The sequence below is a fragment of the Homo sapiens genome, chromosome 19 (assembly GCF_000001405.40).
Source record: "Homo sapiens chromosome 19, GRCh38.p14 Primary Assembly".
NCBI lineage: Eukaryota > Metazoa > Chordata > Mammalia > Primates > Hominidae > Homo > Homo sapiens.
This window is the reverse complement of record NC_000019.10, coordinates 44,425,909-44,448,578: the sequence shown is the minus strand read 5'-3', so window position 1 is coordinate 44,448,578 and position 22,670 is coordinate 44,425,909. Positions and strand designations below refer to the sequence as shown.

The following is a 22,670-nucleotide window of genomic DNA, read 5'->3' as shown; positions in this document are numbered from 1 at the left end:
GCATTTACGACACCATCGCCCCTAGGATCGGACTGCGCTGCGGAGGGTTCTGGGAAAGGTAGTCCCACACCTCGAGTCGACTACTTCCGTTTCCGGTGGGCGCGTCACCTTGATTGCTTCTTAGGCAGTGGTGAGGCGTCTTAGAGACGTGCATCTCCATGCGGTTGTACTGTCAGGCCATGGGAATTAGGATCGGCTCTATAGGACCAGTGTGAAGGGACAACGTGCGGCGGAGGGTCGAAGCCCACGGATTTCCATGAGCTCGGCCTGGTGAGGCAGGGGTGTAAGGAGGCGCACGTATCGAACATTCTGAGCGCCTGTGCGGGGTGGGCCCGGGTCGGCAGCCCTCGCAGTCCAGGCTTGGAAAAGCAGTTTGAGGCCAGCTCTGGCTTTGAGATGAGATCTGCAGTGCGGGAGACTCCACTGTGTCAGTTGCGGATCGATGACATGAATTTTCTCAGGGTAGCCGCCCACCCACTTGTGGAGTAATTTCAGAGTTTTCTGCGAAGTCATTTCTGTAAACAGGAAGTTGATTCCCTGTGTTCTAATTTTATCCTTTGAAATGTATTAAGCGCTGTGCAAGTCCTAGGAGTTGGTTTGCTGTATCGTTGCTGGCTCTGCTTTTTGTAGCCGCCTAAGCACACACAGGCAGAATTTCACTTGTAAGTGTCCCACAGCATGTGACAGTCAGCTCTGGATTAAAATCTTGAGATTTTGTCTTGATTCTCCTTGTCTCCTGAAAGGGGCAGTGAAAGTAGGCTTGTAGACGGTTTCTTTGGGCATCAGGAATGGCGTGTCCCTTGTACTCTGAGTCCTGTAGGAAGAGAGGTTCTTTTCCTCGGCTCCTGAAGCAAGTAGCGAGGGTAGATTACAGGAAGGGGTAGATTACATCCAGCTGGCACTGAGAGATTTCCCCCTGTGGCGTGGTGGGAATTGGGATTAAATCATGTTATCCTGCTGTTCATTTTTCTTTCACAGGCTTCCTTCTTGGAATTGTTCGTTTCTCGGAGATAATTGTATAAAAGAAGGAGAAATAACCCCACATCTCTTGACACTAGAGCTCCAGGTGAGTGAACTTTGGTTCTCTTTTGTGGCAATGCCAGGTCTCTTGGTGACCTCATTCTTCATCCCATTGATATCACAAATGTTCATTCAGACCCCTTAGCCACACCTGCCTTCCCCTAGAAATGGGGGAGGTTTGAGGAATTTCCCAGTGTCTTTATTTAGTGTATTCTCTTCTTGGCTCCTAGTAGTGTGTCACTGGGTCAGTAAAGGCTTACACTGTTTCAGCGCCATGCTGAAGAAACGCAGGGTAGAAATAATTAGAGTAACTGTGATGGTGTATATTAACTGAGTGCTTACTATATGCCAGGTATTATTTATCCATGGTGTCTAGGACAGTGCCAGGCTTGCCAATAAATATTTGAATAAATGAATGTATTTCTATTGAATTTTCTGAGCAAGTTTGTATGTTAGCTATTATCCCCATGTCACAGATGAGTTGCTAAGGTTTAAAAAGTTAAAAAAACTTAACAGGTAAGACCTGGCCAGGAGACCTTCTAAACAGAAACCAGGTCTTTGCGCTTATGCTTCCTTCTGGACTTGTCTCATCCCAGCTTTTTTCACAGCTGATTTATTTGTCAGGCAGCTCTTAGAGACTGTCCCTGACCACCTGATTTAATGTTGCTCTTTCCACAGCTGCCACATATGTTCACCTGATAGCACCTACATTCTTGTTGGAAAACAGGAATCTATCATGTTTGCTTTATTTTCTTCATAGCCCTTTTTGCAACCAAAGGTCACCTAATTTGTAGAGAGATTAACCCACCCGAAAGTAAGCACCATGAGAACAATTACCTTTTCCATCTTAATTTACTGCTGTATGTCTAGTGTTTATTCTCCTAAGATGTTGTTAGACACTGAATGTACATTTACTAAATGCATGAGTTCCTGTATTCCTAGGTTAATGCTGGGTTGGGTCAATGGTAATAGTATATTGATGATTTTCTGTGTACCACGTACTGGGCTTTGAAGTTTATTCACATAGGCATGTGTGTGTGAAAGAGAGAAAAACTTAAATTATTTTAGTTTTGCAAGTAAGGATTATCTTTATTTGACAGAAGTACAGACTCATTCAAAAGGTTAAGTCTCTCCTGTGGTGTTAATATAACTACAAAGTGGCTGAACCAGAATTCGAACCTAAACCTTTTGATAACTCCAGTTTTGAGAAACTAGAGCTGCAATTTTCAAAACCCTGCTTTCCCTTTTGCTATCTTATTATTTTATCATAACTTCATAATTTACCTGTTTTCCTCAGACTTCAACCTCAGAATCATATTTATTTCTCCTCCTCTTCATCCCTACATGGAATTATTCTTTTAGTTTTGTTATTTCTACCTCTGCAATTATCTCTTATTCCCATTACTTCTTTGTCCCACTGCCTTTGTACCAACTCTTTCTGTCACCCTCTTTCTCCCCCAATGTGAGCTCCATGCAGTCCAGAAATGTATCCTAAGCACATGGAACACAGTAGATATTCATTATGGCTGCTGATTTCCACCTAGAATGTTAGCAGCTGCATGAGCACAGAGTCGTTGTCTGCCCTGTTCACTCTTGGGTCCCAACACAGCCAGCATAGTCCTTAGCACCCAAATTACTAAGTCCATGAACTGGAGAAGAAAATCACTTCTGCTGTGAAGATGACATCAAGAGGACCCAAGGATCCATATCAGCAAGCTGAGTTCAGGTTACTCCCGTTCTCCCATTTAAATATTTATTGAGCACCTGCTGTGTGCCAGGTGCCAACTGAAATACTGGCCCTCATAGAGTTCACATTCTTGTGGGTGGAGAAAGATGGTCAACAAGAAAAATAGACTGTAGGTAGGGTGTCAGTTTCATGGAGAAAAATGAAGCAGAGGAGGGTGTAGGAAGTGCTGGTTTGCCAATTTGAGAAGGATAATGAGGGATGAATTTCACTGAGAAAATGGTGCTTGAATAGGGACCCAAAGCAGGTGAGGGGCCTGCAGGCATCTGATGAAAAAGGCAAAGAGAACAACACGAAGGCCCGGTGATGAGGGCATGTGAAGAACAGCAAGGAAGCCAGAGCTGAGCAGAATGAGAAAGAGGGAGGATAAGTGGGAAACTGAATATTGGGAAGGAAGATAGTGTAAGGTCTTTGGGCCATTGAAAGGACCTTGGTGCAAGGTTTTGAGTAAAATGATGGTTTTGGCCAGAGAAGAATATGAGTTTATATTTTTAAAAGATCACTCCAGCTGCTGTGTAGGAAGTAGACTGAAACGAACAGGAGTAGGAATGCAGAGGCCATTTAGGGGGCTGTCACGTTAATGCAGGTGAGACATGATGGTGTGGACGGTGGCAGCAAGAATAATCTGATTCTGGTTCTGATTTGTAGGTATTTGCTGATGGATTGGATGTAGAGTACGAGGAAGAAATCAAGGATGACTAGAATATTTCCTCTTCATTTCAAAGGAGAGAAGTACCTCTAGGGGCAAATCTGGACTTTTCTTTTGAACATGTTTTTTGAGTTGCTTTTTAGACATAAGAGTGGAGATGGCAGGTTGCCATGGAGTCATCAGTGTGTAGATTGTGTTGAAGGCCTGAGGCTGGATATGTTCACCAAGGGAGTGAAAGAAGATAGAGAACTTTATGTGCTGACTCTTGAGGCTTCCTGACCTGAAGAGTTCAGGGATAGGAGGAGGAAGCACAAGGAAAATTTTTACCCACCGGAAGTCTCTGGAAACCCTGAAAATCAGCCAGTCAGAGGAAGTGAGGGTAACTTAGCAAGTTTGCTTCAGGTGTGGCCCCTGGACTCACTTTGTCAGCATCCCCTGGAAACGTTTAAAACACAGACTCCTGGGCTCTACTGCAGAGATACAGAATTAGAATCTTTGGAGCTGGACTCTAGCAGTCTGTTTTCATCATTGCTCATGGTGATTTTTAAACATACTGAAGTTTGCAAAGCGCAGTCCTAGAGGATCCTGAAGTTTGAGTTTAAGTGGCATTGCGGTGGAGGCCTTGTTTCAGATCTGGCCTCTACTCTTCCCTTTGTCCTTTGTGTAGGAGGGTAGCGTGTTGCCTGGTTGTCCACACCTGGGTCAAAGGGCAATCCCCAGTTCAGGGCAGTGCATGAAGGGAGGGAGAGAGAAAGATGCTTGTCACTGTGGGCCATGCAGAGGGCTGGTACAGATGGTTAGAGGAAAGAAGGAGATTTGAGTTCCTGAAGCAGTAAAATCCAGTGAGTGTCCTAGAGTAGACAGCCCAAGTATGTGTATCTGTTTGTCTGAACTTGACCTTGAGACTTGAATTTCAAGAGGAAAGAGGCCAGGCAAGGTGGGGAAGGGTGGAAACTCATGTCCACTGTCTTTGCACTACCTCCCGAGTAGCTCTGAGCAGATTGTAAGAGTTTTGTTCAATCTGTGTGCATCACCTCCTGCTGATAGAATTGCTTAGGACCCTTAAGTGCTTCCCGTGTGCCAGAGCCATGAAAGGTAAATAAAGAAAAAGAAGACTCAATTATTTTGATGACTTAGAGATCTGACCATGGAGGCCGTGTGAAAGGTGGTAACCAGCAATTTATACCATGTGTTGCTGGATCCCAGAGTAATTAATTCAGTCTGGGGGGTGGGGCGGGGCAGAAGAGGCTTAATTTTGAAAAGGAATTCTTGCCCTGGGCTCCATGAGCATAACTCAGGAGTTCCATGAATTTGAATGGGAAAAAAATTATACTAGTCTAAGTCACAAGTAGCATTTCATTGTGAACATAGGTGCTAAGCCACAATATTATTAGCAGTACTTGTGACTTTGTCATCCATATACATCATAGATATTTTTATGTCATATTCTGGTTTGTGCAAATATTTCAGAGTATTGTTTATGCTCATTACTCTTTTGAAATTGTAGTTAAATTTATTGTTTATATTGAATGTATTAATAAAGTGGCACTATACTTGCACAGTGAGCCATGCAGAGTTTTAATAGTTTTGAAGGTTGTATTTCCATATAATTCTTTGCATTTCATTTTATGCATTTAAAACTTTATTCTCAGTAGGGATCTTTAGGTATCATCAGATTAGTGAAGGGGGGCCATGGCACAAAAAAAGTTAAAAACGCTGACTAAAGATGGCTCTAATCTATATCCTGATTTCTATAATCCCTAAGTATGGGGATTTATTGTATTTTATTTTTTGCAAGTCAAACAGTATTGCGTTAATAAAGCTTTTCCTCTCCAGGTGTTTCTTCACAGGTCACAGGTCCCATATATTTGTGGGGTCTCTCTGCCCTTCTGAGGGGCCCTGTGCCTTACTGAGAATTTAGCTGCAGGACCCTCCTCACAGACTCTTCTGTGACTGTCCTTACCCATCTGCAACACTCTTGGCTTTGTGGACTATGAGCCCCTTCAGAGTAGGGGACTAAACCTAACAAGTACTCAGTAAATGTCCTGTAAACTACTGAATGAATAGTATCCAGGGGATGTGAACCACAGCCTTGGGGCCCAGAAGAAAGGACTAAGTAAAGTTCCCTCCCGAACCTACAGGTCCCCTGACCATGGGAAGCAGTCGCGCTCTGGACAGTAAAGGTGGAGACAGGAACTTGTCAGAGCTTGGAGAGTTTCCGGAATGAAAAAGGCCTGGATCTTCTGCGTCTCCAGCTTAGGAAAACCAGAGAATAAATACAGTTGCTGCTGCTCGCAGAGAACCTAGCAGAAGAGACCATGGAGACTTTGACCTCAAGGCATGAGAAAAGAGGTGACAGCTAATAGAGGGGGTGGGTGGGGGGAGAATCCAAACTGAGTGTGGAGGAGAAAAAGTTGGATGTTGAGGAATTTCCTCAAGTGAGAAGAAACCAGTCTGTAAAGCTGGGCACCTTCCTACCAGGTAGATGATCTAGAGCTTCAGGCAGCACCAACTCCTCCTCATGGCCTCTTTCTCCTCCTACAGCTCTTCATTCTCAAGCCTCAGCCATTTCCCAAGATAGGGAGGAGAAGATCATGTCTCAGGTGGGTTGTTTTCTTTTCTCTCCCGAAATACCACCTTAGGCATCAGAGAGAAAACATACGTCCCTTCTCGGTAAAAGGAAAAAGAGCGAAAAATGTATTGGGTGAATACATTTCTCGTTGCATTTATCCACAAAATAGTGATGTGAGACAGATAGTATGATTCTGTTTTAGAGATGAAGAAATGAATGGGGGATCCAGGATTTGAACTCAGGTAGGTCAATTGGATTCGATAATCTACCTTTCCGCTATGCCTTCCTGCCACCGCAATAGCTTCACGCAGAGGCCCAAGCCTAGATTAGCAGAGAGATGACTCTCCAAATACTGAATCATCGCTGCCTGGGTTGTTCTCCTCTGTGGAACGTTATTCATTTATAGATGTAATGTTCTCCATGTAGTAGACCCTACCAAAAGTATACCATGCACAAAGTTAAAAAAAGAAAAACATATTAGAAAAGTTTCATCTATGACAAAATTTTAATATCCTTATTTTCAGAAGAGGGTTATGCATAAAGACCTGAGCATTCTTGTTCAGGAAGGGAGCAGAGAAAAACTAATGCCCACTAATCATATGAAAAGACTATAAGCCTCTATTAATCAAAATGATACACATTGAAATAAGATTTATGATTATTCTAGCAGACAGCCAAAGATTTGAAAGGTCAACATGCACTGTTAGCTGGGATATGGAGAAATGGGTACATCCACACAGCTGCAGGAGTATTTCTGCCTTTCTAGAAGTTCTCCTTATTCTGGTCGAGCATTTCCCACTCTAAGAATTTTTTCTAAGTCAGAATAAATGTGCAAAGAATGATAATTGCAGCATCATTCATAACAGCCAAATGTGTATATACACATATATGTACACATATCTACAAATATATATACATATATATGTACACACACATATAGTGATATGGATTCCATGTTCATCTATTGAATTAGTGAATTGTAGTTTCATTCGTTCTTTTGTCTAGATTCTAAGCTGCTATCAAGCGATATAAAGTAAATGAAAATATAGGGATATGGAAATAGGCTATCCTTTAGTATATACATATTTCTTAATTTTCTTTTAAACTGAAAAAAATCATAGCCATTGCAGAATTTTAAGTATGTTTTTTCAACACATGAAACATTATTTTCTAAACCTTTCTTTTTATGAAAAGAGATTGTGAAATAATTTTGAAGATTTGATTCACTTCTTTTACTGTGTACCTTAATTTTAAATATTATTGATTACTTCCTGCTGTGAAAGTTGAAGCAATTAGCACGTTTTTACTTCCTACCATCTTCTGATTGTTATTATATTGTTATTGTCATTGTTATCTTCTGATTCGTCACCATAAGTTCCCCCAGTTGAGACTCACTTCTGTGTATTTAAGTCATTGCTCACCGCCTCTCCTTTTACCACAACTTTCTTACTTGAATTTATTTGTTGGTTGCCTCAATTTCATCTACAAAGACTTTGGATGCAGTCTTTTTGTTCCCCCACGCCAAAGACTTGGCTATAGTATCCTCTGCATTTTTCCAAGTTTAAGAATGTTGTGGGCCAGGTGCAGTGGCTCGTAATCTTAGCACTTTGGGAAGCTGAGGCATGCGGATCACTTGAGCTCAGGAGTTCGAGACCAGCCTGGGCAACATGGTAAAATCTTGTCTCTACAAAAATACTAAAAAATTAGCTGGGTGTGGTGGTGCATTCCTATAGTCCCAGCTACTTGGGGGTTGAAGTGGGAGGATTGCTTGAGCCCAGGGAAATCAAGGCTGCAGTGAACCAAGATCATGCCACTCTACTCCAGCCTGGGTGAAAAAGCGAGACCCTGTCTCAAAAAAAAAAAAAAGAATGTTGGTTTTATGTTCAAATTGCAAGTTGCCAGGGCTTAAAATTCTTCATTCACACTTTCTGGACTCAGTACAGGTTGTGTCATTTTCTTCTTGTATTAAGTCTTGTGTAGGACTTTGTATTGTGGCTTCTCCATTCACCTTCTGGTGAGCTAAATTCATTCTTGTCATTTTTTTCTAGAAGCATCTGTTGTGTTTATGCTTGGGTGTGTGGCATTTTCATGGATCACACTTTATTTTCCTTGCTCTGTTCTCTCGGGCATTAATTCTGTTTGTGCCTGATGTCAATTATTACTATTATTTAATCCAGTTGGTCTTCCTGGAATGCCTACTGGATAAATGGTGTAACTTCTGGATCTGTCCTTCCTATTCTTTCACTTTATTTTCTCTTTCTCTTTCTCTCCTTCCTTCTTCCTTTTCTTTTTCTTTTCTTTCTTCTTTCTTTTTGCCATTTTCCACTGTGTTCCAGAATCCTGTCCTGTTTTACAGTTCTTTCTTCTTGGATGTTCATTCATCTGTTTAGGCTAAGCTCTAAGTTGTTTTTTTCTTCCAATCCTAGCTGCGATTTTTTTTACACTTAAAAAATTTCTGATTAATTCTTTTTCTAGCAAGCTCCCCCCTACACAAAAATTGAGTGGGTGTAGCTTTTTGAGTCCTGTGTGTTAAGATGGTCTGTGCAGTTTACAACTGTGAGACTCTGTGGGACTCCCATGGAGATGTTTTTGGGTTGTCTGCCATACTCACTCATAGTATTAAACCTCTGTAGCTCAGCCATGTTAATAATACTAGTTTATATATATTTCATTATAACTTTTAAAATAAAGATTTAGTAGAAGACAGACCATACCAAGGTCTATAATGAAATAAATTAGGTTCCCCCAACTGTCCTCGCTAATATGCCCAACATTAACAAAGAGGTGTGAATCCATCAATATCTTTGTCATGTGAAAATATATGTTACCTTCTTTTTAAAAAGGAAATGGGGCTGGGCATGGTGGCTCACACCTCTAATCCCAGCACTTTGGGAGGCCAAGGCGGGCAGATCACCTGAGGCCAGAAGTTCAAGACCACCCTGGCCAACATGGTGAAACCCTGTCTCTACCAAAAGTAAAAAAATTAGCCGGGCATGGTGGCGCACACCTGTAATCTCAGGTACTCGGGAGGCTAAGGCAGAAGAATCGCTTGAACCTGGGAGGCGGAGGTTGCAGTGAGCTGAGATCATGCCACTGCACTCCAGCCTGGGCGACAGAGTGAGACTCCATCTCAAAAAAAAGGAAATGGAAACATGTATGCTTTCCATGTAGTGTGTATTTTACTACCATAAGATATTCAGTTCTGATTACTACCAGTTTTAGCACTACAAACAGTACAAACACATGTGATTTTTGCATCCTGTTCTTTAATCTTTAAATTCTATGATGTAAATGTCTGAATATTGCTGGCCCAAAGGGGTATACTTAGTGTGGAAAAAGCTACTGAAACTCTAAGTGCTGTTTGTATTCTGACACTCAGCAACAATAATCACAGGCAGAAGACTTCTGTGACCAAATGTGTGTGGGTTTCTCCTCAAGTAAGCAATCAGTTTTGTGGCAGTTTTGCTGGGTGCCCTTCGGTTCAATTCTGACACTGTCTGCCCGGAGGTAGTGTCAGATCCCACAGGTTGAGGGTTCTGTCCCACAAGAGACTGCTCCTCCCTCCCACCAGTTGCAAGTTTAGGCTTCCAGAACTTGTGACCAACCAGCTGCAAGTTGGGGTTCCCACAACCCACTCTTTGGGTTTGATTAATTTGCTAGAGCAGCTCACAGAACTCAGGGAAACACTTATGTTTACTGGTTTATTATAAAGGATATCACAAAAGGATACAGATGAAGAGATGCATGGGGCAAAGGTATGGGGTAAGGGGCATGGAGCTTCCATGCCCTCTCTGGGCATGTCACCTTCCCAGAATTTCTCTGAACCTGGTCCTCTTAGGTTTTTATGAAAGTTTCATTAGGTAGGCACCAGTGATCAACTTCACCCTCAGCTCCTCTCCCCTCACTGGAGGTTGGGGGAGGGGGAAGTACTATAAGTCTAATCCTCTAATCCTTCCTTGTTCTTTCCAGTAAGCAGCCCCATCCTGAAGCTACCTGCCAGCTGCCAGCTACTAGTCAACCCATTAGCATAGAAAAAGACATCACGGTGGAGTTTCTAAGGGCTTTTGGAGTTATATGCCACAGAGACCAAATATCTATTTCACAGCGTCACACACTTCGTTGTAAACTGTTAATATATTATTGCCACAATATTTGAGAAGAAATCATAGCAATTTTTGCTGTTCTGCACACATTCAATCCCAAGAATGATTAGTACTAAATATTTTTGCTCATCTGATGGAGGATATGTGGCAAAGATGCCCCATTTTATTTTGCAGTTTCCTGCATTGTAAACATGATAAGCACTTTTTCATATGTATATTGGCTATATTTGTATTTTCTCATCAGTAAATTGCTTAGGAAATACTTTTGCCTATTTTCTCATTAATTCATTTTTACCATGTTTTTAGAAGCCCTTCTAAACACTTATCAAAAGTGTTATAATTATTTTCTCTCAATCTTTACTTTTTTAAAAATTTTAGGTTCAGGGTACATAGGCAGGTTTGTTATATAGGTGAATTGCATGGCATGGGGGTTTGTTGTACAGATTATTTTGTCACTCAGGCAATAAGCCTAATGCCTATTATTTATTTTTCCTGATCCTCTCCCTCCTCCCACTATCCACTCTCAAGTAGGCCTCTGTGTCTGTTGTTCCCTCTGTGTGTCTAAGCGTTCTCATCATTTACCTCCTACTTATAAGTGAGAACGTGCAGTATTTGATTTTCTGTTCCTGCATTACTTTGCTTAGGATAATGGCCTCCAGCTCCTTCCATGTTGCTGCAGAGGATATGATCTCATTCTATTTTATGGCTGTATAGTATTCCATGGTGTATATGTTCCACATTTTATTTATCTAGTCTACTGTTGATGGGCATTTAGTTTGATTTCATGTCTTTTCTATTGTCAGTAGTGCTGCAGTGAACATGTGTGTGCATGTGTCTTTATGGTAGAATAATTTATATTCCTTTGGGTATATACCCAATAATGGGATTGCTGGGTTGAATGGTAGTTCTGTTTTAAGTTCTTTTAGGAATCACCACACTGCTTTGTATGATGTCTAAACTAATTTATATTTCCACCAGCAGTGTATAAATGTTCTTTTTTCTCCACAACCTTGCCAGCGTTTGTTGCTTTTTGACTTCTTAATAATAGCCATTCTGACTGGGGTGAGGTGGTATCTCGTGGTTTTGATTTTCATTTCTGTAGTCATGTTGACCATTTTTAAATATGTTTGTTGGCTGCATGTATGTCTTCTTAATTTTTACTTTCTTAATGGTAACTGTAAAGAAGTTTAAGGTTCTTATATAGTTAAATGATTTATTAGTTCCCTTTTGAAAATTTAGTTTCATGTAGTTTCAAAAGACCTTATCCATTCTCAGATTAATCAAAAAGTCATCTAAATGGCTCTTTAATATTTATATTAAAAATGTTTTTCTCATCAGCAAGGTCTGAAAAAATGTTTTATCCCTAGTATAACTGTAATTTATTTTTGTAAATGACATAAGGTTGACATTTAAGTTCATTTCTTCAAGATGGATAGCCAGTTATGAAAATGTTATTTTTACATCAATCATTCTTTTTCGAGTCAACCAAAATACCACCCTCATTTGTGTGTGTGTAAATATATATATATTTATGTTTGTACATGTAAATATATAAAATATATATATATACACACACATATATGTATGTATACATATCAAATACAAAGACAGAAGGAAATACAGCAATTGATTGATATTTCACATGGACCTGACTGCTCCTGCATTCTGTGCTCTGGTTCACCGAGTTACTTGTACATCTGCATTGAATACCAACTTTTTTTTAAGACACAGTCTCGCTGTGTCACCCAGGCTGGAGTGCAGTGGTGCAGCCACAGCTCACTGCAGCATTGACCCCCCAGGCTCAAGTGATTCTTCCACCTCAAGTAGCTGGGACTACAGGTGCGCCATCACACCTAGCTTATTTTATTTTTTGTAGAGATGTAGGTCTCCCTATGTTGCCAAGGCTGGTCTCAAACTCCTGGAATCAAGTGATCCTCCCATCTTGGCCTCACAAAGTGCTGGGATGACCGGCAGGAGCCACTGTGCCTGGCTTAAACACCTACTTTTGAAATTTAGAAATTTGATTAAAAAAATGGTGTTGGAATTAAAGTTTGGCTAGAACTTAGTAATGGTGCCCTTTTTTTATGGTGGTTTTTGGGTTGGTGTTGGTTTTTGTAGTTGTTGTTGTTTGAGACACGGTTCTCTCTGTCACCCAGGCTGGAGTGCAGTGGTACGTTCTCAGCTCACTGCAGCCTTGAACCCCCAGGCTTCCACCTCAGCCTCCCGAACAGCTGGGACTACAGGTGCACACTACCACATGCCACTACTTTTTCTATTTTTTGTAGATATGGGGTCTTGCCATGTTGCCCAGGCTGATGTAAAACTCCTAGGCTGAAGTAATCCTCCCATGTCCGAGTCCGGGCCAACATGTCTCCCTGTAAATATTGCAGTGGCCTCCAATGTGGTCTCCTTGTATCTATACTTGATCCATTGCTATGTTTTTCCATGCTGTGTCGGGTTCATAATTTTAAGACAGCTCACCTAATCTTATCACTACCCACTGTAAACTACCCTTCAGTGTTTATTTGTTTCCTGCTTTTGGGAAAGACCAAAATCATCAATGTAGCCTAAGAGGCCCTGAGTGATCTGGCCACCGCCTACTTCACAGCGGCATTGCCTGAGGCTAAGATACATGTGCCGTGCTTCTTACCACTTAAGGGTTTTCACCAACTGTTCCCACTGTGTGGAATTTTCTCTCCTCTGTTTTCCCTCAGTTAATTTCTACTTATGCCTCAGAATTTAGATCCAGTTTTACTTTCTCAAACAAAGCATTTGCCTCTGTAAACATTGCTTCTGATAAGAATGGCATACAGTACCTGGACTGTCTGCAAACAATATGGTTTCTACTGAAAACCTGCTTTTCTGGAAGTCTGAAACTTTGGTATGTGCTAGTCAGGAGGTACCTATGTGTCCAGGCCCCAATGAAAACCCTGGGCACCGAGTCTCCGCTGATCTTCTCTGATAGACAGCATTTCACAGGCCTTGTTGCAATTTATTTTTGGAGGAATTAAGCATATCTGTGTGACTTCAGTAGGAAAGGACTCTTGGAAGCTTGCACCTGGTTTCTTTCCAAGTTCACCCCATGCGTCTTTTCCCCTTGATGATTGTGTTTTATTTTCTTTCACCGTAGTAAGTCTTAGCCATGAGTGTCACTGTATATCAGCTCCTGTGAGTCCTCATGGCCAATCATACGACCTGGATCTGGTTTTAGGAACTGCCAATACTAGCTCCATGAAACTCTAGCTTTTTGGCTCATCTCTCTAATTCCTGGTGCCTAACATTATTTTATAGGTACTGAATATTTCTTGAAAAAGTAATATGGTATGCATTCTGTATTAGTCTGTTCTCATGCTACTAATAAAGACATACTCGAGACTGGGTAATTTATAAAGGAAAGAGGCTTGAGTCACAGTTCCGCATGGTTGGGGAGGCCTCACACTCATGGTGGAAGAGCAAGGGATGTCTTACATGGTGGCAGGCAAGAGAGGCTGTGGAGGGGAATTCCTGTTTATAAAGCCATCAGATCTTGTGAGACTTATTCACCATCATGAGAACAGCATGGGAAAGACCCACCCCCCATGATTCAATTTCCTCCCATCAGGTCCCTCCCATAACACGTGGGAATTATGGGAGCTACAATTTAAGATGAGATTTGGGTGGGGACAGAGACAAACCATGTAATATGCACTAAAACTTTCTATAGCTACCATTCCTTCGTATCAAAAATATATGCATGACTTAAATAAAAAAGTCAAGTGAAAGCATTCATCTCATTCTTAACTTGCAATACCTTGTCGCAGGTACTCCAGGGACATGCTGAAGGCAAAGTATAATTCTGAGAGCCCTCATATGCAGTTCTCAAGAAAGCTTGCCACTGTCCAAGTGAAGACAGCAATGATATTACAGTAATATTTTGATGATCACTGTATTGCAGAATACATGACTGCCATTTATTCTCACTGAACTGGAACAATTAGCTTTAAAAACACAGGCCACCATTCGTAGCTGAAGGGGACACAGCATAGTTTGAAATTCCTTGGTTCAAAATGCTACTTTTGAGGTCTCACCTGGTTGAGGAGATGGTTGCATGACATAAATTAGCTGATTTCTGTCAGTTGTTGACATGGAAGTCCCTTAAAAAGAGTGTGGAAGGGAAGAGGGGCTGTGGTAGCAAAGAGCAGGATTTGCCTACCTGGTGATGGAAGGGTAGTGAATGATTGGGAAAGAACCATCATTCTGGCAGAGAGAATGTTTTCGGGGTACATGCAGGCATGGGCACAGTAAACTAGGCACTGTTGGAACTGTAAATTGTAACAGACTTCTTGGAGAAAAATTTGGCAATCTACAAGTCAGAGTCAGATTATAAAATGTGCAGACAGGTGATTCACCTGATCCAGTTCAGAGAAATTTCCTGAAGAAGTGCTCACAGTGGGCTAGGTGTGTTAGGCCATTCTGGCATTGCTACAAAGAAATACCCAGGCAGATCACGAGTTCAGGAGATCGAGACCATCCTGGCTAACATGGTGAAACCCTGTCTGTATTAAAAATACAAAAAAATTAGCTGGGCATGGTGGCACATGCCTGTAGTCCCAGCTACTCAGGAGGCTGAGACAGGAGAATCACTTGAACCCGGGAAGCAAAGGTTGCAGTGAGTCAAGATTGCACCACTGCACTCCAGCCTGGGCAACAGAGCAAGACTCTGTCTCAAAAACAAGCAAACAAACAAAAAGACCAAAACAAAAACCCGAGACTGGGTGATTTATAAAGAAAAGAGGTTTAATTGGCTCACAGTTCTGCAGGCTAAACAGGAAGCATTGCGCTGGCATTTGCTGGGCTTCTAAGGAGGCCTCAGAAAGCTTACAGTCATAATGGAAGGTGAAAGGAGAGCAGGAACTTTATATGCCTAAAGCAAGAAGTGTGGCGGGAGAGTTGGGGGGCGGGGGTAGAGGTACCATACAATTTTAAATGACCAGATCTCACAAGAACTCACTATCATGAAGATAGCGCCAAGTCATGAGGGATCTGACCGCATGATCCAAACACCTCCCACCCCCACTTCCTAGTACTGGGGATTACAGTTCAGCATGAGATTTGGTCAGGGACAAATACCCAAACTATATCAGTGGGCAAATATCCAAATATCAGTGGCTCACCCCTGTTAATCCCAACACTTTGTGAGGCTAAGATGGTAGAATCACTTGAAGCCATGAATTTGAGACCAGCCGGAGCAACATAGCAAGGTCCCATCTCTACAAAAAAATAAAAATTAGCTGGATGTGGTGGTGCGTGCCTGTAGTCCTAGCTACTTGGGAGGTTGAGTGAGGCATGGGGATTGCTTGAACCCTGGAGATTGAGGCTGCAGTGAGCTGTGATTGCACCAGTGCATGCCATCCTGAGCTACAAAGTAAGAGACCCTGTGTCCAAAAAAAAGTGCCCCAAGTGAGCACAGGATATGATGTGTTTCTTGCTTGATGCTGCATATCTGGGGTAGTTCAGTTGGTTAGAATTGAAATTACTGGCACCAAACATTAATAAACTGGAGTTGACACACCGGGCTGAACAACTTCCTGCTATCTTGTCTTCTTTTTTTAGAGATATGCAGTTTATCTTTATTGTTTAGATTTTTATTTATTTATTTAATTTTATTATTATTATACTTTAAGTTTTAGGGTACATGTGCACAATGTGCAGGTTAGTTACATATGTATACATGTGCCGTGTTGGTGTGCTGCACCCATTACCTCGTCATTTAGCATTAGGTATATCTCCTAATGCTATCCCTCCCCACTCCCCCCACCCCACAACAGTCCCCGGTGTGTGATGTTCCCCTTCCTGTGTCCATGTGTTCTCATTGTTCAATTCCCACCTATGAGTGAGAACATGCGGAGTTTGGTTTTTTTGTCCTTGCGATAGTTTGCTGAGAATGATGGTTTCCAGCTTCATCCATGTCCCTACAAAGGACATGAACTCATCATTTTTTATGGCTGCATAGTATTCCATGGTGTATATGTGCCACATTTTCTTAATCCAGATTTTTAAATTTTTTTATTTCTATAAACCTGCTCTGTGGACACCAGTTTGTCTTCATCTAGTAGATGTTTGTGTTAATGGTTTTTCATTTTAGGAGCCATTGAGCTTCAAGGACGTGGCTGTGGTCTTCACTGAGGAGGAGCTAGAGCTGCTGGACTCTACCCAGAGGCAGCTGTACCAAGATGTGATGCAGGAGAATTTCAGGAACCTACTCTCAGTGGGTGAGAGGAATCCTCTGGGTAATTGGAACTGAACTTCTTGGAGTGTTCTTGTTCCTGGAGAGAAGATATTTTTGGCTTTTTTACACAGGTTAAATCCTATTTTTATAGAACTCTTAGTTTCAGCTGCTGTAAAAAATTGCCAGACTGAGTGGCATATAAACAACAGAAGTTTATTTCTGGAAGGCACAGTCTGAGATCAGGGTGCCAGCATAGTTGGGTTCTGGTGAGGACCCTCTGTCAGGGTGCAGATAGCTGACTTCCTTTTGTGTCCTCACGTAGCAGAGAAGAGCTCTCTGGGCATCTGTTTTCTAAGGACACTAATTTCTTTCCTGGGGGTTCCACCTCCATGACTTAATTACCTCCGGAAGACCCACCACCTCCTAATGGTATCACGTTGGGATTTAGGATTTCAACATAGGAATTTTTGAAGACTGGGGTAACAGATGGAGAAACTCCAAGAAATGCATCTCCAGGTGAGAACCATGAGGCCTAGAGGTCTTGGAGACAAGAGCCTTGCTGGGCAGTGAGAAGTGAGCTTGCCCACAGGAGGTCCCATTCCTCACCCCTTGTCTTGCCTGTGGGTACTGTTGGCAGCATTGTAGATGATTATTCTGCAACTTCATTTCTTCCGTTCAGTTCCTACCTTCTCATGGTTTCTCTATGCCTTTCACAGAATATCATACCCAGAATGAGCGAGGGACCTCTGGACTTCCGTCCCTCTAATAGAAACAGCCAGGCAGTAGAAGGCAAGCCAGTGGCAGAGACTGTCCCAGAATATTGAGAGTCCTCAGATGAATTTCTCACTTTCTTCTAGTATTGTACTAGTCCCTGGTTATAAACAGGTTCTTGTTACCCAAGCCCTGAAAGATAAAAATAGGCAATAAAGAATATCAGAAAACATGGACAAATTTTTAAAATCATCCAGAACTGTGGTAAATATGACAGTTTGATCCTTTGCAGCCTGGGATCCAAAGGTTCTCAAGGCATAAGTAATAGTCATAAGTCAAATATTTGTGTGTCTTCCTGCCTTAACAGTATTTTCTGGATTCCTATTGCATCTGCTCACACAAGATGACACAGGTGGTGCACTTTGGAAAATTTGGCACCCTCCTGAAGTATGGCTCACAAATACCCAGAAGTACAGTCACCCCTGAGACACAGTGCAGGGAGAAGGCCGTGTGGGCTTCCTGCATTTAAATGCCAGCTCCACCACTGCCTCACAGTATGGTGGAATAGTGTGCTAGGTTACCTACCCTCTCTCTGACTTGGTTTCATCATTGGAAAATGAAGGTAATATAATGGTTTCTACTTCAGTATTATTCTGAGGTTTAAGTCAGTTAATATGTGTACATCATTGGCAGATAGGAAGTGTTACAATAGTGTCAGATATTATTAGTTATAACAGCATTATTAAGCGAAGAAGTGAACTTTCTCTATAAAAATCTGTTCCGAAATTCTTTTTTTGCCTGGCAATTCTATGATGAGACATAGTTTGGTACTAATAGGATCATACTAGCATTTAGCTTCAAAACTTATTAATAGGAGCCTCCTCTTGTCATAAACATAAGTGCTCTAATAGTTATGATACATAAAGCCTAATTTTTCTCTAGGCTATTATTAGTTCAAGTCTGAAAGTCTGATGTCCCTGAGCCAGTCTTTTACTAGTTCTCATCTCTGAATTGTCTTTAACCTCATAGGAGACAAGAATGGAAAGGATACGGAGTATATTCAAGATGAAGAATTAAGGTTCTTTTCACACAAAGAGCTCTCCTCATGCAAAATCTGGGAAGAGGTGGCAGGTGAATTACCTGGGAGCCAAGACTGTAGAGTAAATCTGCAAGGAAAAGACTTCCAGTTCTCAGAAGATGCTGCTCCCCATCAAGGGTGGGAAGGAGCATCTACGCCGTGTTTTCCAATTGAGAATTTCCTGGACAGTCTACAAGGGGATGGGCTTATCGGTCTAGAAAATCAACAGTTTCCAGCCTGGAGAGCTATAAGACCAATCCCCATTCAAGGATCTTGGGCAAAAGCGTTTGTGAACCAGTTAGGGGATGTTCAAGAAAGATGTAAAAATCTCGACACAGAAGACACAGTATATAAATGTAACTGGGATGATGACAGCTTTTGCTGGATATCTTGTCATGTTGATCACAGATTCCCTGAAATAGACAAGCCGTGTGGTTGCAATAAATGCAGAAAAGACTGCATTAAAAACTCTGTACTTCATCGCATTAACCCTGGAGAGAATGGCTTGAAAAGTAACGAATACAGAAATGGCTTCAGGGACGATGCAGACCTTCCCCCGCATCCAAGAGTACCTTTGAAAGAGAAACTCTGTCAATATGATGAGTTTAGTGAGGGCTTGAGGCACAGTGCCCATCTTAACAGACATCAAAGAGTTCCCACAGGAGAGAAATCTGTTAAGAGTCTTGAGCGTGGTCGGGGCGTCAGACAGAACACGCACATACGTAACCACCCCAGAGCCCCTGTGGGAGACATGCCCTATAGATGTGATGTCTGTGGAAAGGGGTTCAGGTATAAATCGGTTCTTCTTATTCATCAAGGGGTGCACACAGGAAGGAGACCCTATAAATGTGAGGAGTGTGGGAAGGCATTTGGTCGAAGTTCAAACCTGCTTGTCCATCAGAGGGTCCACACTGGAGAGAAACCATATAAATGCAGCGAGTGTGGGAAGGGCTTCAGTTACAGCTCAGTGCTTCAAGTCCATCAGAGGCTGCACACAGGGGAGAAGCCCTACACCTGCAGCGAGTGTGGCAAAGGCTTCTGTGCCAAGTCTGCACTGCACAAACACCAGCACATTCACCCTGGAGAAAAGCCCTACAGCTGTGGCGAGTGTGGAAAGGGATTCAGCTGCAGCTCCCACCTCAGCAGTCATCAGAAGACACACACCGGCGAGAGGCCCTACCAGTGTGACAAGTGTGGCAAAGGTTTCAGTCACAACTCGTACCTTCAAGCTCACCAGAGAGTTCACATGGGGCAGCATCTGTACAAATGTAACGTGTGTGGTAAGAGTTTCAGTTACAGCTCAGGGCTTCTCATGCATCAGAGACTGCACACAGGAGAGAAACCCTACAAATGCGAGTGCGGGAAGAGCTTTGGCCGGAGCTCCGACCTCCACATCCATCAGAGGGTCCACACAGGAGAGAAACCCTATAAATGCAGTGAGTGTGGGAAGGGCTTCCGGCGGAATTCAGACCTTCACAGCCACCAGAGGGTCCACACGGGAGAGAGGCCCTACGTGTGTGACGTGTGTGGGAAGGGTTTCATCTACAGCTCCGACCTCCTTATCCATCAGAGGGTCCACACTGGAGAGAAACCCTATAAATGTGCTGAGTGTGGCAAAGGCTTCAGTTACAGCTCAGGGCTTCTCATTCACCAGAGAGTCCACACAGGCGAGAAACCTTACAGATGCCAAGAGTGCGGAAAGGGCTTTAGGTGCACATCAAGCCTTCACAAACATCAGCGAGTCCACACGGGAAAAAAGCCCTATACGTGTGATCAGTGTGGCAAGGGATTCAGTTATGGCTCTAATCTTCGCACCCACCAGAGGTTGCACACAGGAGAGAAACCCTACACTTGTTGTGAATGTGGGAAGGGTTTCAGATATGGCTCAGGTCTCCTTAGTCATAAGAGAGTGCACACTGGCGAGAAGCCATACAGATGCCACGTGTGTGGGAAGGGCTATAGTCAGAGCTCACATCTTCAAGGTCATCAGAGGGTCCACACTGGTGAGAAACCCTATAAATGTGAGGAGTGTGGGAAGGGCTTTGGCCGCAACTCCTGTCTTCATGTTCATCAGAGAGTCCACACTGGAGAGAAGCCCTATACGTGTGGTGTGTGTGGGAAAGGCTTCAGTTATACCTCAGGTCTGCGGAACCACCAAAGAGTGCATTTAGGCGAGAACCCTTATAAGTAGATGTACATAGAGGATTCCATCTGGGACTCAGAGCTTTCTATCCATCTGAGAGCCAACACAGGAGAAAAACCATAGGAAAGTGACATGTAGGAGGGCTATAGGAGAAACTGATGATTTTACATTTTCTAGTCTGCATAGGAAGGGAACACCTGGATGTGTGATAAATAGGTTAGCACTTCAGTTACAAACTTCAGTCTTTAAGAGTCTGTTGTGCAGCGGAGTAGGCTTTAAAGAAACAGTGCAGCAGTGGTTTCAGTAATAATCCTCACTTCCATCAGAATCTGCCTGGGAGGGAGCTTTTACAATGTACAAGTGGTGAGAATGTTTCCAAGGTGCTAATTATGGACATAGATTCTTTGTGTGGGTTGATAGCTACCAATGGGACAGTGTAGAAACAAGTTTCCACCTTTCTAAAACCAGTTTGGTACATATCTTTTTAAAGATCGCTTTATAAAAACAAAAAGATAACATTAACATTTATTGAAACAAGTCACTCTGAGAAGACCAGGAACAAAGTTCTCTTGGCAGATCTGGGTGATGTGTGTGTCTCACATTTTTATCATGTTTTTATGACTGTTTTATCTTGCAGGTAAGCTTTACAGCTTTCAGAGGAGTTGTAGTACACTACAGAAATATGTCTTCTTTCCAGGTTCAAAAAGCAAAATCTGATTGGCATTGCATTGAATTATTAATTAAATAAATTTATTAATTGGCATTGCATTGAATTTATAGGTTAATTTTGAAAGAATGTGGCGTCTTTGAAATGCTGATTTTTTTTCACTTTAAAAAAATGACTTTTTTTTTACCACTGATAGTATTTCATATGGTCCCTCAGTAATATTTCTTAGAGATGGTTAAAAATAGGTTCTGAGTCATCTTAAGCATATTTCTAGGAATTTGTTTTATTGCTGTCATGAATATAATGGTTTTGCTCCAGTTCATTTCATAGTTTAACATATCAAATATTAGGTATCTTAAAAATCACAAATGCTATTTCACCCTGCAGGTTAGCAGTATTAAAATAGAATCATCAAATCCCCCATCAGTGGGGGCGGGGGGGGGGGTTGTAGAAACAGTCTGATATGGTTTGGCTCTTGTCCCCACCCAAATCTCATCTCAATTTTAATCCCCACGTGTCAGAGGAGGGCCTTGGTGGGAGATGATTGGATCACGAGGGCAGATTTCTCCCTTGCTGTTCTCATGATAGTGAGTTCTCATGAGAGCTGATGGTTTTAAGGTGTAGCCCTTCCTCGCTGTCTCTCTCCTGTCCCCTTGTGAAGAAGGTCCTTATTTCTCTTTTGCGTTCTGCCATGACTAAGTTTTCGGAGGCCTCCCCAGCCATGTGGAACTGTGTGTGAGTTAAACCTCTTTCCTTTGCAAATTACCTAGTCTCAGGTAGTTCTTTATAGCAGTGCAAAAATGGACGTAATAAGTCTTATGTACTTATTGGTGAGAGAGAAAATCCGTGCATTGTTTTCAAAAGAATTCATTAACGTATCAATTCAATTTCTATAACCTTTGAAGTGGCAGTAAATATGTAGTAATTGATACTTGGGAGATAGTTGCCCACTTGGGCAAAAACGCATGCAGAAGGTGGAGTTTTTAAATTTAAAACATTTTTAAAATAGCAAATGTTAATATTCCAGTTTCCATTGGTAGGAAATTTTTTAGATAAGTTCAGGCATATGTATGCAATGGAAAGCCACTAGAAATCTTCAGGCACACAGATAATGACAATGCAGGTTGCTCATGAAGTATTTAGTGAACCAGGAGAGTTTTAGAACAACAATTATAGCATGACCCCATTTTGTTAGTATGTTTTTCTGTGTGTATGTTTAGAGCAACAGAGAAAAAAAGATGTGGGAGAGGACATATAACTACTTATCTCTAGTGGTGGGATTCTGAATGTATAATACATATGTTGTACTTTTATGTATTTTACTTTGTAACAAAGTATCTTTCAGTTTTATAATAACAGTAGAGCTATTTTTTATAAATTAGCCTGATGGAACAATCCCTTATGATTAAAGATTCATGTTGTAACCTCTATAACTTTTTTGGCTTTTTCTCCTGTTCACCCAACTCCCTGTACCAAAGATAAGGCATACAAATGAGTGATGTAAATATTCTCAGAGGCTACATCATTTTTGCTGGCTGGTAGGAGATGAGGCAGTCTAGATAATTAGGAGCCACGGTGTTTCCATTTTTCAGTCCTGCCTTCTTGAACTAGTGAGCCCACAAGCCTGGTTTTGTAGAGGGCAGCACACCATCATGTGTTCCTCCAGGATAAGCTCTCTGTCTTGGTGACTCAGGAGACCTGGGTCTGCTCTGGTCTGAGCCTTCTGCTGCCTGGAGCTGCCAAAGAGAGAAGACATGTCAAGAGGTGGGGAACAG

General features: G+C 42.1%; 1 protein-coding gene across 6 annotated transcripts, besides 1 other annotated feature; it reads left to right on the top strand.

Annotated features, from left to right (window-relative positions):
* Positions 1-22,325, top strand: ZNF229 (zinc finger protein 229). Of its 6 annotated transcripts, none has more exons than NM_001278510.3 (6): positions 1-58; positions 979-1,066; positions 5,555-5,765; positions 5,958-6,016; positions 16,213-16,339; positions 18,037-22,325. In NM_001278510.3, the coding sequence occupies exons 3-6, from the start codon at positions 5,732-5,734 to the stop codon at positions 20,274-20,276; spliced, it is 2,460 nt and encodes an 819-aa protein (NP_001265439.2). In that variant the 5' UTR covers positions 1-58; positions 979-1,066; positions 5,555-5,731; the 3' UTR covers positions 20,277-22,325. The 6 variants fall into 6 exon arrangements, 5 of the variants coding, with proteins under 5 accessions (NP_001265439.2, XP_011525594.1, NP_055333.3 ...); NR_103551.3 differs by lacking the exon at positions 1-58 and adding an exon at positions 107-270 and having other exon boundaries at positions 16,213-16,812; XM_011527292.3 differs by lacking the exon at positions 1-58 and adding an exon at positions 107-270.
* Positions 15,420-15,656: a silencer, noted in NCBI's record as "fragment chr19:44937098-44937334 (GRCh37/hg19 assembly coordinates)". NCBI's record gives its function as "represses an EF-1alpha promoter that drives an FKBP-Casp9 reporter gene in an ReSE screen in K562 erythroleukemia cells {active_cell/tissue: K562}" and the evidence as "EXISTENCE:reporter gene assay evidence [ECO:0000049][PMID:32094911]".
* Positions 22,326-22,670: the final 345 nt, after the last annotated feature.